Source organism: Homo sapiens, chromosome 17 (genome assembly GCF_000001405.40).
Source record: "Homo sapiens chromosome 17, GRCh38.p14 Primary Assembly".
Classification (NCBI taxonomy): Eukaryota; Metazoa; Chordata; class Mammalia; order Primates; family Hominidae; genus Homo; species Homo sapiens.
In genome coordinates, this window is record NC_000017.11 from 82639567 (window position 1) to 82651847 (window position 12281).

General features: G+C 54.2%; 1 protein-coding gene across 3 annotated transcripts in view, besides 5 other annotated features; it reads right to left on the minus strand.

Moving 5' to 3' along the window:
• WDR45B (WD repeat domain 45B) overlaps window positions 1-8878 on the minus strand; it is a 33883-nt gene extending 25005 nt beyond the window's left edge. For all 3 annotated transcript variants that reach the window (XM_005256377.6, NM_019613.4, XM_047436414.1), the window contains exons 1-2: window positions 8708-8878; window positions 4383-4457 (exon numbers count right to left, since the gene is read on the minus strand). In XM_005256377.6, the coding sequence (XP_005256434.1) occupies window positions 4383-4457; window positions 8708-8774 (142 nt within the window). In that variant the 5' untranslated portion in view covers window positions 8775-8878. The remainder of the gene's footprint in view (window positions 1-4382; window positions 4458-8707) is intronic.
• Window positions 8331-8380: a silencer, noted in NCBI's record as "silent region_9220". NCBI's record gives its function as "represses an Ori minimal core promoter by ATAC-STARR-seq in GM12878 lymphoblastoid cells {active_cell/tissue: GM12878}" and the evidence as "EXISTENCE:reporter gene assay evidence [ECO:0000049][PMID:35858748]".
• Window positions 8391-8440: a silencer, noted in NCBI's record as "silent region_9221". NCBI's record gives its function as "represses an Ori minimal core promoter by ATAC-STARR-seq in GM12878 lymphoblastoid cells {active_cell/tissue: GM12878}" and the evidence as "EXISTENCE:reporter gene assay evidence [ECO:0000049][PMID:35858748]".
• Window positions 8523-9022: an enhancer, noted in NCBI's record as "H3K27ac hESC enhancer chr17:80605965-80606464 (GRCh37/hg19 assembly coordinates)". NCBI's record gives its function as "activates a minimal SCP1, AML or CMV promoter by ChIP-STARR-seq in primed H9 embryonic stem cells {active_cell/tissue: H9 hESC(primed)}" and the evidence as "EXISTENCE:reporter gene assay evidence [ECO:0000049][PMID:30033119]".
• Window positions 9041-9110: a silencer, noted in NCBI's record as "silent region_9222". NCBI's record gives its function as "represses an Ori minimal core promoter by ATAC-STARR-seq in GM12878 lymphoblastoid cells {active_cell/tissue: GM12878}" and the evidence as "EXISTENCE:reporter gene assay evidence [ECO:0000049][PMID:35858748]".
• Window positions 9401-9470: an enhancer, noted in NCBI's record as "active region_13013". NCBI's record gives its function as "activates an Ori minimal core promoter by ATAC-STARR-seq in GM12878 lymphoblastoid cells {active_cell/tissue: GM12878}" and the evidence as "EXISTENCE:reporter gene assay evidence [ECO:0000049][PMID:35858748]".

The window sequence follows — 12281 nt, forward strand, 5'->3', positions numbered from 1 at the left end:
TCTCTAGCACCTTCACCTGGCACGCTGGGTGAGCACACAGCACGAAGCCTGCAGGACCTGTTGTGAAGCTAGATGTGCTGAGGCTGCCGGGCTGTGTGTGTGTCGGGTCTGGCGGGCTGCTGGGCTGTGTCAGGTCGAGAGGGCTGCCAGGCTGTGTGTCAGGTCAGGTAGGCTGCTGGGCTGTGTGTAGGTGGGGCGGGCTGCTGGGCTGTGTGTGTGTGGGGTCGGGAGGGCTGCTGGGCTGTGTGTGTGTCAGGTCGGGAGGGCTGCCGGGCTGTGTGTCGGGTCAGGTGGGCTGCCGAGCTGTGTGTGGGTCGGGAGGGCTGCTGGGTTGTGTGTGTGTCGGGTCAGGTGGGCTGCTGGGCTGTGTGTGTGTCGGGTCAGGTGGGCTGCTGGGCTGTGTGTGGGTCGGGAGGGTGGCTGGGCTGTGTGTGTGGAAAGAACAAACCTGGGTGTACAATGGATGCAGGACCTATGTCGGGGAGCAGGGTTGGACAACACTGCCCCCCAAGACTGAAGGAGCAGGGATCCCCAAGAAGGCTTCCCTGAACTACCAGCTTCCCGTTCCTGCCAAGTGGCAGAAGGCGTATCTGGAAACAGCAGCCTGCTCAGAGCCCACAGTCTCCTTACTCAATGCACAGTCACCCTGGAGAGAACCATGCCACAAGCCCAGATCCAGGACACACTGTCATGCAGGCTTCCTTCCCCACCACTCAGGAAAGCAAACTGCTACAATTAAAAAGGAACAAGGGCAAGTCTGGTGCTGCTCTTCACTGGGATTTTTTTCTTTTTTTTTTTTTTTTAAGACAGAGTCTCACTCTGCCATCAGGCTGCAGTGCAGTGGCGAGATCTCGGCTCACTGCAACCTCCGACTCCCTGGTTCAAGCAATTCTCCTGCCTCAGCCTCCCGAGTAGCTGGGATTAAAGGCACGCACCACCAGGTCCAGCTAATTTTTGTATTTTTAGTAGAGATGGGGTTTCACTGTGCCGGCCAGGATGGTTTCGATCTCCTGACCTCGTGATCTGCCCACCTTGGCCTCCCAAAGTGCTGGGATTAGAGGCCTGGCCTGCTCTTCATTGTTAAACTGTAAGCTGCCAGACGCAGAGCAGCAGATGAGTCTGTAAGTGCAGAGCCAAACTGTTTAAATGTGCCATCAAAAAGACAGTGTGGCCCTACTGTATCCATTTCACATTAGGGCCTATCTACTCACATAAGCTGGAAACGGGAGCACACCACACATGCACATGTGAGAACTCACTGCATGCTAAGCTCAGGGACAGCCTGCCCCAGACACAGCCGAGCTGGCAGACGCACAAGACCGGGTATATGTGTGTGATGAGCTAAACCATGACAATGGTATACTTTTCTGGAATTTAGAAGTTTTAGATGTTTCTTGTCTGGGTTTTTTTTTTTTTTGAGACGGAGTCTTGCTCTGTCGCCCAGGATGGAGTGCAGTGGCGCAATCTCGGCTCACTGCAACCTCGGCCTCCCGGGTTTAAGTGATTCTCGTGCCTCAACCTCCCCAGTAATTTGAATTACAGGTATGCGCCACCACGCCTGGCTAACTTTTTGTATTTGTAGTAGAGATGGGGTTTCACCGTGTTGCCCAGGCTGGTCTCGAACTCCTGAGCTCAGGCAATCTGCTCGCCTCAGCCTCCCAAAGTGCTGGGATTACAGGCGTGAGCCACCGTGCGGGCCGTCAAACTCATTTTTATAAGAAATGTTGAATTTACTGTAAACACTTCATTAATTAGGAAGCAGTTGTTAATATGCTGTTGTGGTGTTATGAGAGAGACACATACAGGTTTTCACCCACGGTTCCTGGCTCATAACTCCCAGACCTTGTTACAATCTTTTGTTATAATATTGGGTGTGTTAGGCCCTCAGGAACCAGAATCTCTCTCCTGCCCTTTCACCTGCTAAGGCAGAACTCAAATCTTCTCCACCTGATTGTGGGTCTGAAGAACCTCCATAGAGAAGCTCCCACCCTGCACACTAGGAGAAGCAATGCAGATACTATGAAGCTTCCTTAAAAATCCAAGAGGTGGCCGGGGTGCGGTGGCTCATGCCTGTAATCCCAGCACTTTGGGAGGACAAGGTGGGCGGATCACGAGGTCAGGAGATCAAGACCATCCTGGCTAACACAGTGAAACACCGTCTCTACCAAACATACAAAAAAAATTAGCCAGGCGTGGTGGCAGGTGCCTGCAATCCCAGCTACTCGGGAGGCTGAGGCAGGAGAAAGGCCTGAACCCGGGAGGCGGAGCTTGCAGTGAGCCGAGATCACACCACTGCACTCCAGCCTGGGCAACAGAGCGAGACAACGTCAGAGATAGATATGTATATATCTCCAAGAGGTATTTTCTGTAACACATGTGGGAAAAAAGAGAAAAAAAAAATCAAAGAAAAATGAATTTTGAAGTAAAAAAATAAAAAACATAAAAATCCAAGAGGTCAGCTGAACACATGGAAGGTTCTGGAGGGTGGCAGCCGAGGGAGGGCTTGGAAACTCCATAGCCTGTCCCCCCACACCTTGTTCCGTGCTTGCCCTCATCTGTATTCTTGGCAATTATCCTTTACAATGGGTCTGCAACCCCGGGGCAGTACTGGTCCGTGGCCTGTTAGGAACCAGGCTGCACAGCAGGACGCAAGCAGCAGGCGAACAAGCATCCCCACCAAGCTCTGCCCCGACAGATCAGCGGCAGCATACGATTCTCACAGAAGCATGAACCCCACTGTGAACGGCACACGCGAGGGATGGAGGCTGCACGCTCCTCCTGAGACTCTAATGCCTGATGATCTGAGTGGGAACAGTTTCATCCCGAAACCATCCCCCTATGAAAAAAACTGTCTTCCATGAAACCAGTCCCCGGTGCCGAAAAGGCTGCAGACCGCTGCTTTATAATAAACTGGTAAATGTGCTTCCCCAAGTTCTGGGAGCCGCTCCAGCACATTAATTGAATCCAAGGAGGGGGCTGTGGGAACCCCAACTTGAAGCCAGTCAGTCTGAAGTTTAGGAGGCCCAGACTCATGCATGGTGGGGACTGGGGCAGTCTTGGGGACTGAGCCCTCAACCTGTGGGATCTGACTCTATCTCTAGGTAGATGGCGTCAGAACTGAAAGGACACCCAGCTGGTGTCCACTGCTTGGTGTGTGGGGAGAAATTCCCCACATTCAGTCACAGAAGTCTTCTGTGCTGACAACTGTCGTGCTGTTAAGAGTGGAGAGAAAACATGGCTGGGGGGTTTTTCCCACACAGCTGCTAATGATTCAACTTGGACACCAACGTCTACAACTCTCCTGTAAGCTTCTGGGTCAATTCAGTAAAAAGTATCCTGAGATTTGCAAGTCAAGCTGTTTTAAAATGTTTTGCAACTACTTATCTGCATAAATCCCATCATTATCCCATCATACATTTATCTGCATAAATCCCATCATACAGTGTATGTGGCATCATACACTCCACAGCACCTAATGTGCGCGCAGGCATTAATCTGCGTGTCTTACGCACCCTGACTCATTTTTACAATAACTCTGAGGCAGGCATTGTTATCAACCTTATTTCACGTACAAAGAAAGTGAGGTGGCCGGGGACGGTGGCTCACGTCTGTAATCCCAGCACTTTGAGAGGCCGAGGTGCATGGATCATGAGGTCAGGAGTTAGAGACCAGCCTGGCCAAAATGGTGAAACCCCGTCTCTACTAAAAATACAAAAATTAGCCGGTTGTGGTGGTGGGTGCCTGTAATCCCAGCTACTCGGGAGGCCGAGGCAGGAGAACCGCTTGAACCCGGGAGGCGGAGGTTGCAATGAGCCGAGGTCATGCCATTGCACTCCAGCCTGGGCGACAGAGCAAGATCCCGTCTCGGAAGAAGGAAAAAAAAAAAATAGAGGCCCAAAGAGGCTGAGAAATTTGCCCAAGGTCGCACAGCAACCTGGTAAAGGGCAGAACCAGGACTCAAACGTACACAGCATGGATGCAGGCTGAGGAAATGCACCCTGACTTACAAAATAAACTCCCAGACATAAAGCACCACTTACTGTTCTACATCCCAGGGTTACAGGTAAGACTTTACTTGAAAAGAGGTTTCTGCTGCCAAAAATCCCTGATGTGACAGGAAAAGGCACAAGAAGTTCATGCTGATCGATAATTCACTAGAGAAATCAGGCCAGTGAACAAACCTGCTCAACACCTGTATCCCTCAGCACCTGTAGAAGCTCAACGAAAGAAAGAGGACAGCTCCCTCCAAGTTTATGAGGGGCCATGAACCCTATTTACTTCTCGAAAACAGCCATCCCTTCCCTGCTCCACCTGCAAGGTTAAATTTAAGACTCCGAGGGTTGGAAAGGGGAGAAACCAGAAAATGTCCCGTTAATTCTTACCTTGTTTCTCTTTTTCTTTTAGTGGATCAGTGTTATAGACTCGGAATCCATTTTCCATCCCACACGCAAAGCATCCTAAAGCAGAAGTGTAAAAGAGACATTAATCCCCAGGCCTGGAGTGGTTAAAAGAAAGAGGTCTGGAGAAATGACAACTACTGAGAACTCTTGCAGATGCTCAAACCACACAGACACGATAGGTGCTAAGTCACAACTCCTGTCCTTGTACAAATGTTACTAAGTGACAAGCACATCCATGCAGGGCATTTTGTTTGTCCTTTAGCAAAGGAGTCTTGGAGTTGTTCACACAACTTCCCCACTGCAGGGGCCTTCTGTGGCATCCCCATGGCCCAGGCTTGGAGGACGATCAGTGACAAACGTGAAGGACACTTCTAGAGGAAAGCCACCAAGCAGGCAATCCCGCCCACTGTGGACACCAGGTGAAGGGAAGGGCAGGGTGCTGGGGAGACAAGAGGTAGTCCTAGACTCCAGGAACCGGGAAGGTGAGGAAAGGATGCTCTTTCCCATTTACAGGGTGGTCTCCCGTGACTTTGCTCCCACCTATAAATCATCCTAACTCCTTAAAATCCTGTCAGAGTCTCAATGAGTTACCCAGGTCACTCATCCTGGTCACTGCCTCCAAGTCACACAGCAGGCTGTTAATGGTCCAAATAAACAGCACTGTTAGAAACTGAATAAAGCACTTAAGTGCGTAGATGATCGTGTGTTAATGCTCGTGTGTGACCCAGGGACTACATCCATCTCCTTAAATGCCATGTCCAACTGTTGGCTCTATGAAGCTGTGGCTGGAAAGAGAAAAAAACAAACCCCTCAATTATTTTTCACATGAAATGTTGCAAAGTCTGGATCTTTCCAATGACTGCACAAGTGGTGTGAAAGCCCAACACAAAGGCCTCTAAAACTCCCATTTGAGGCCGGACGCAGCAGCTCACGCCTGCAATCCCAGCACTTTGGGAGACCGAGGTGGGCGGATCACCTGAGGTCAGGAGTTCGAGACCACCCTGGCCAACATGGTGAAACCTACCCTCCACTAAAAATACAAAAATTAGCCAGGCATGGTGGCATGTGCCTGTAATCCCAGCACTTTGGGAGGCCAAGGCAGGTGGATCACCTGAGATCAGGAGTTCGAGACCAGCCTGACCAACACGATGAAACCCCGTCTCTACTAGAAATACCAAAAAATTAGCCAGTCGTGGTGGTGAGCGCCTGTAATCCCAGCTACTCAGGAGGCTGAGACAGGAGAATCACTTGAACCCAGGAGGGGGAGGTTGCAGCGAGCTCAGATCACGCCACTGCACTCCAACCTGGGCAACACAGCAAGACTCCGTCTCAAAAAAAAAAACAAAAATAAAAAATAAAAATAGAAATACCCAAACCACCTCCTAGAAATCCACAAGAAAAAGGCAAAATCCTCAATAGAAAAATGGGCAAAAGACTTAGACATGTCACAAGAGGATATCCAAGTGGTCAAGAAACACAAAATCAGGAAAATGCAAATAAACAACAGAGAGATGTACACAGCCACCAAAATGACCAAAAATAAGAGAAAACATCAAATGTGAGCTGGGTGTAGAGCCATGGGAACTCTTAGACCTGCTAGTTGAGGGCAAAGTGGTACAACCACTTTGGAAAACTATTTGTACTATCTACTATACTCTCAATTCTACTCCTAGGTATATAGAAGTACATGCCTGTGGAAATGTGAACATATGGTCACTGAGAGACATCTTCTAGATTAATCATTACTCTTATTACTCATATTATGCTTATGGTAGCCAAAAACTGGAACGTACCCAAATGCCCAACCATGGTAGACTGGATATATGAATTGTTGTATGTCTGCACAAAAGAACATTGTACATCAAGAATGATCTGGCCGGGCACGGTGGCTCACACCTGTAATCCCAGCATTTTGGGCAGCCGAGGTGGGTGGATCACAGGGTCAGGAGATCAAGACCATCCTGGCTAACACGGTGAAACCCCATCTCTATTCAAAATACAAAAATTAGCCGGGAGCGGTGGCGGGCACCTGTAATCCCAACTACTCGGGAGCCTGAGGCAGGAGAATCGCTTGAACCCAGGAGGCAGAGGTTGCAGTGAGCTGAGATCACGCCACAGCACTCCAGCCTGGGCAAGAGCAAGATCCGTCTCGGAAAAAGAAAAAAAAAAAGATCTACAACTATACTCAACAATACGGAAAAAAAAAATCACAAACATGATGTTGAGTAAGAAACCTAGAAACAGCCTGGCGCCGTGGCTCACGCCTGTAACCCCAGCACTTTGAGAGGCCGAGGTGGGCGGATCACCTGAGGTCAGGAGTTCAAGACCAGACTCAACACGGAGAAACCCAGTCTCTACTAAAAATACAAAATTAGCCAGGCATGGTGGTGCATGCCTGTAATCTCAGCTACTCGGGAGGCTGAGACAGGAGAATTGCTTGAACCTGAGAGGCGGAGTTTGCAGTGAGCCTAGAACGCGCCATTGCACTCCAGCCTGGGCAACAAGAGCGAAAACTCCGTCTCAAAAAAAAAAAAAAAAAAAAAAAACCCAAAACAAAAAAACAGCTAGAAACAAAAATAAGTACAAAAATAAAGTACAGAAGTAGGCAAAACTAATCTATGATGTCACAAGTCAGGTAGGGAGCATTTATTGGAATCAAGCGTGGCCAGGTATATTCAATTTCTTAATTGTTAGTGACAGGTGTGTAGTTTGGAAAATTCATCACCTGAACACTTATGATATATCCACCCTTCTACAGGTATAGCACACTTCACTAAAAAGAAGGCATTACAAACACCAGATGGTTGGAAACCACCCTCTGAGAAGGCTAGGCATCTCCCTTACCATCTCAGCAAAACTTTCTTCCGGAGAAACCCCAGCACACAACCCTGGGGAAGCTGGCAGCGCCCAGGAAGCCTGACTGGTCCCAGGGCATCAGGCATCAAAATCACTGAGAGGGAGTTCTTTCAAATATGTGTAATCCGGCCGGGCGCAGTGGCTCACGCCTGTAATCCCAGCACTTTGGGAGGCCGAGGCGGGTGGATCACCTGAGGTCAGATTGAGACCAGCCTGGCCAACATGGTGAAACCCCGTCTCTACTAAAAATACAAAAAGTAGCCGGGCGTGGAGGCAGGCGCCTGTAATCCCAGCTACTCAGGAGCCTGAGGCAGGAGAATGGCGTGAACCCGGGAGGAGGAGGTTGCAGTGAGTCGAGATCGCACCAGGCTGGGCGACAGAATGAGACTCCGTCTCAAAATGAAATAAATAAATAAATAAAATTGTCTTCACATATACGGGATCATACAGCACCTGCCTGGATTCTCTTCAAAAACAAAACTTCCAAAGCCAACATGTAAAGCCTCGCAGAAGCCTGTCTCGGAATAACGGACATTCCTTTTCCTCCCCATCAGGACCTTTGGGAAGCGCGCCCTTCAAATGGGAGGTGAGGAGGCAACCATCCGAATCCAGGTCCCGCCCGCCTCCCGCGGGAATCCGACCGCGCCGCCCCGGCCGCATCCCCCGCAGCTCCGAAGCACCTGCGGGGAAGGAGGTCACCTTCCCTGGGCGCTTTAAATCATCCAGTGCTTACACCTGGATTCCGACATGGGAAAAGAAGTAAGATTTCCCTCAAAGGCCTCCCTTAAGTCCTTTGACTCCACCAAACACGAAGAAAAATCCCGGGGAGTGGGGGTGGGGAGAGTGACATTTTCCGATGGAAACCGACGGGAAAGGTGAGACCTGCACCCCACCCGCGCCACTCGCCACCAGAGGCGTCGGAGACGCCGGCTCCGCGGCTCCAGTAAACCCAAGCGAAGTCAGCTCAGCCACGGGCTACCTACTAAAGACCCTGAAAGGAACAGGGGGCAAAACGGGGTTCTGGGCAGGGCGTCAATCACGCTGTGGGGAAAATCCCGATAACCGTGGAGCCCGCAGGGAGCCAGGGAACCCGAGTGGGCGTGGCGCGCGGGGAGGGGCGTCCGCGCAGGAGGCTGGGGTTCTGTGCCGTCTCCCACCGACCTCGACCTCGGCCCGGGACGGCCGGCTGGGAGCGGTCACAACCCGGGGGGTGGGGGAGCGCGAAAGGCCAGGAAGGTGGGAGCCGGTTCGGGCCTGGTCCGGACCCCGGCTCGGGCTGGGAGCAGCGGCGAGGGCCGGGGCCGGGGGCTTCGGAGGGGAGCTCGGGCGGGGCCGGGGTCCCGGGTGGAAGGCCTGGCCGGAAAGGGGCGCCCAGGAGAGGCCTGAGAGCCGGGGACCCCGGGCTGCGGGAAGGCCCGGCCGGGCAAGGCGACAGGGCCGCGCCTCCTCACCGTGGTCCTGGTTGAAGCCGGCGTAGAGCAGCCCGTTGCCGTGAGGGTTACACGGCAGGAGGTTCATGGCGCCGCCGTGCTGGGTCGCCGCTCCTCAGCGCTGCATGCCTCTCGCTGGGGACGGCGGCCTGGTCCCTTCGGGCCGGCGCTGAGGCCGCCGCGGCCGGAAGTGCCGGACGTACGTGCGTGCGTGCTGGATGTGCGTGTGTGCTGGACGTGCGTGCGTGCGTGCTGGACGTCCGTGCGCGCGCCCGCGCCCCACCAGGGAGCCTATGGAGCGCCGAGCGCATCTAACCGAAGCGAGGCGAGACGAGGCGAGGCAGGGCGGGGAGGGGCGGGGCGGGGCGAGGCGAGGCGAGGCGAGGAAAGGCGGGGAGAGGCAGGGCGGGCGGGGCGGGATGAGGCGGGGAGAGGCAGGGCGGGCGGGGCGGGATGAGGCGGGGAGAGGCGGAGCGAGGCGGGGCGGGGAGGAGGGGGCGGGGCGGGGCGGGGCGAGGCGAGGAAAGGCGGGGAGAGGCAGGGCGGGCGGGGCGGGGCGGAGGCGGGGAGGGGCGGAGCGAGGCGGGGCGGGGAGGAGGGGGAGGGGCGGGGCGGGGAGGGGCCAGGCGGGAGCGCAGAGCACGTTCGCGGGAGGGTCTGGCCTTGTCATGCGCGGGGTCGCCGCGGGAAGGAGGATGGCCCGTTGAGGGCTTGGCACGGATACCTGACGGTCGGAGGAAGGGGGGAGAGCCGGTAAAGGAGGCTGACCCAAAACTGAGGCCCGGTGCATCATCCCTCATGAGAGGCAAGCCCAGAAGCGCCACAATACTAGGGTCCCCCTTCAGGAGACAGAGACCCCCAGGACACAGAGGGCCCCCAAGTCACTCAGCCCCCCCAGGACACGCAGCTCCTGCAGGACGCAGAGGGTGCCCAAGACACACAGTCCCCAGGACAGAGACCCCCCAGGACACAGAGGACCCCCAAGACACGCAGTCTCCAGGACACAGAGGTCCCCCCAGGACACACAGTGCCCCCAGGACACAGAGGTCCCCCAGGACACAGCACTCCCAGGACACACAGCCCCCCCGGGACACAGAAACCCCCCCAGGACACAGCCCCCCTAAGACACACAGCCTCCCCCAGTACACAGAGTCCTTTCCAGGGCACATATTCCCCCAGAAGACACAGAGGTCCCCCTAAGACACACAGCCCCCCCAGGACACACAGACCGCCAGGTCACAGAGACCTTCCCAGGACACAGGGACCTTCCCAGGACACATAGCCCCCCAGAGGACACACAGCCCCCCCACGACACAGCCCATAGAGGACACAACCCCTTAGTACCCCACCTAAAGGACAGGTGGCCCTCACACAGCACAGCCCCCGCAGGACTCCGGGACCCTCAGGTCACATTGCTCACAGGGCACAGTTCTCAACTCTTAGGGTCAGGCTGCTGGGGGCATCCTGGTCACAGAGCTTTGTCCCTGGGCTTGGCTCATGCAGTGGATGGCTGTGGAGGCCTGAGTGCTGGCCCTCGTGTCTCTTGCCCAGGGAGTCCTCTCCACTCCCCCTCCTCACTTTCCTGTCCCCTCCTAGGCTCTCCCTGTTCCCTGCAGCACACCTGATCTCCTAGGAGGTCCTGACACTGTCCCCTCGCAGCCACCTGCCTCCACCCCGTCTGTCATCCTCATCCCACCCTCGCCACTTGCCTGAGCTGGTGCTGACCTCTTAGCCATGGGGAGGAAGGAGCTGGACTGTAAGCTGAGATCACTGGCCCACTCGGGCCAGGCGGTCTCCGCATCGTGGGCATTGAACACCTCGATTCCCATACGAGAGGGGCTCCTCCCTGAGAGCGACCAGAAGCCTTCCGATGGCGGAGCGAGTTGGGCCGCCCCGGCTGTGACTAGGGCTCGGGGGCCCAGGTCCAAATCACAGAGCTGGGGCGAGACCTAAGTGCGGTCCAGGGGCTCAGCACCCTCTTCCCTGAAGGGCACTGGGTTCTCCTCTGTGCACACGTACCGGTACCTGCTGTGAGAAGTGTCACGTGGGGGAAGGAGAGAGGCGTGGGTAAGGGACATTTCCCTTCATTTCTCTGCTTGCCACCCTTGGGGCCTCCTTCAGTTCACATTTTACTCAGTCTCCCGGTGGCTGTACAGCCGGGGGCGGGGGCATGTGTGGACATCCACACACAGCGCTGGTTGTATCCTAACCAGGAAACTCAAAGCAGCCTTGCCCACCACAGTGCGTTGAATGGTGACCCTCTAAAGATGTGTCCTGGGGGGCTGAGGAGGGAGGATGGCTTGAGCCCAGGAGATTGAGGCTGAGGCTGCACTGAACTGAGATTGTGCCACTACACTCCAGCCTGGGCAACACAGCAAGACTCTGTCGCAAAAAAAAAAAAAAAAAAAGATAGGTCCACCCAGAACCTGAGAATAGGGGCTTCTTTAGGTAAAGAATCATTGCAGAAGTAATTAAGGATCTCGAGATAAGATCATCCTGGATTTGGGGTGGGCCTTAAAGCTGGTGACCGGCACCCTTGGAGGAGACAGGAATGGAGGAGATACAGGGGACAGCAGCCAGTGGGACTGGAGTGCTCAGCCCTAAGTCAGCAAGTGCAGGAATCGTGGGGTCACCAGGAGCCGGGAGAGGCATGAACGGTTCTTCCCCAGAGCCTCCCAGCCTGGGAAGGAACACAGGCTGTTGTCCAAGCCACCAGCCTGTGGGGCTTTGTTCCAGCAGCTCCAGGAATCCCGCCGTCCACTGATAGCTCAGAGGTCTCCACGTGGAAGACCTGAAGTGTGACTTGGAGTGAGGGACACGGCTCATCTCGCCCACCCTTCTCCAAGGCAGGCAGAAAGCAGAGTCTCACCTCTGGGGGTGGAGAGAATAGAAATTATACACACACACACACACACACACGCATATATATGTATTTATATATATATGTATATATCTCCTGGGCTCAGGAGATCCTCCCACCTCAGCCTCCTGAGTAGCTGCAACTACAGGTACACACCACTATGCCAGCTTAATTTTTTGTATTTTTAGTGGAGACAGGGTTTCATCATGTTGCCCAGGCTGGTCTTGAACTCCTAGGCTCAAAGGATATGCCTGCCTCAGCCTCCCAAAGTGCTGGGATTACAGGCGTGAGCCGCTGTACCTGGCCTAACGATGTATTGTTTAAAGATACAACATATTTGGACACACATAAACATATAAAGAAAACCAGGAGGATGGTTTGCACAGAATTGGAGATGGTGGTTACCGCTCGGGGCAAGAGAAGAATCTACAGTAGGCCGGGCGCGGTGGCTCACTCCTGTAATCCCAGCACTTTGGGAGGCCAAGGCGGGCTGATTGCCTGAGGTCAGCAGTTTGAGACCAGCCTGGCTAACACAGTGAAACCCCATCTCTACTAAAAATAGAAAAATTATCTGGGCGTGGTGGCAGGCTCCTGTAGTCTCAGTTACTCGGGAGGCTGAGCCAGGAGAATCGCTTGAACCCGGGAGGCGGAGGCTGCAGTGAGCTGAGATCGCACCACCGCACTCCAGCCTGGGTGACAAGAGCGAGACTGTCTCAACAACAACAAAAAAAGAAT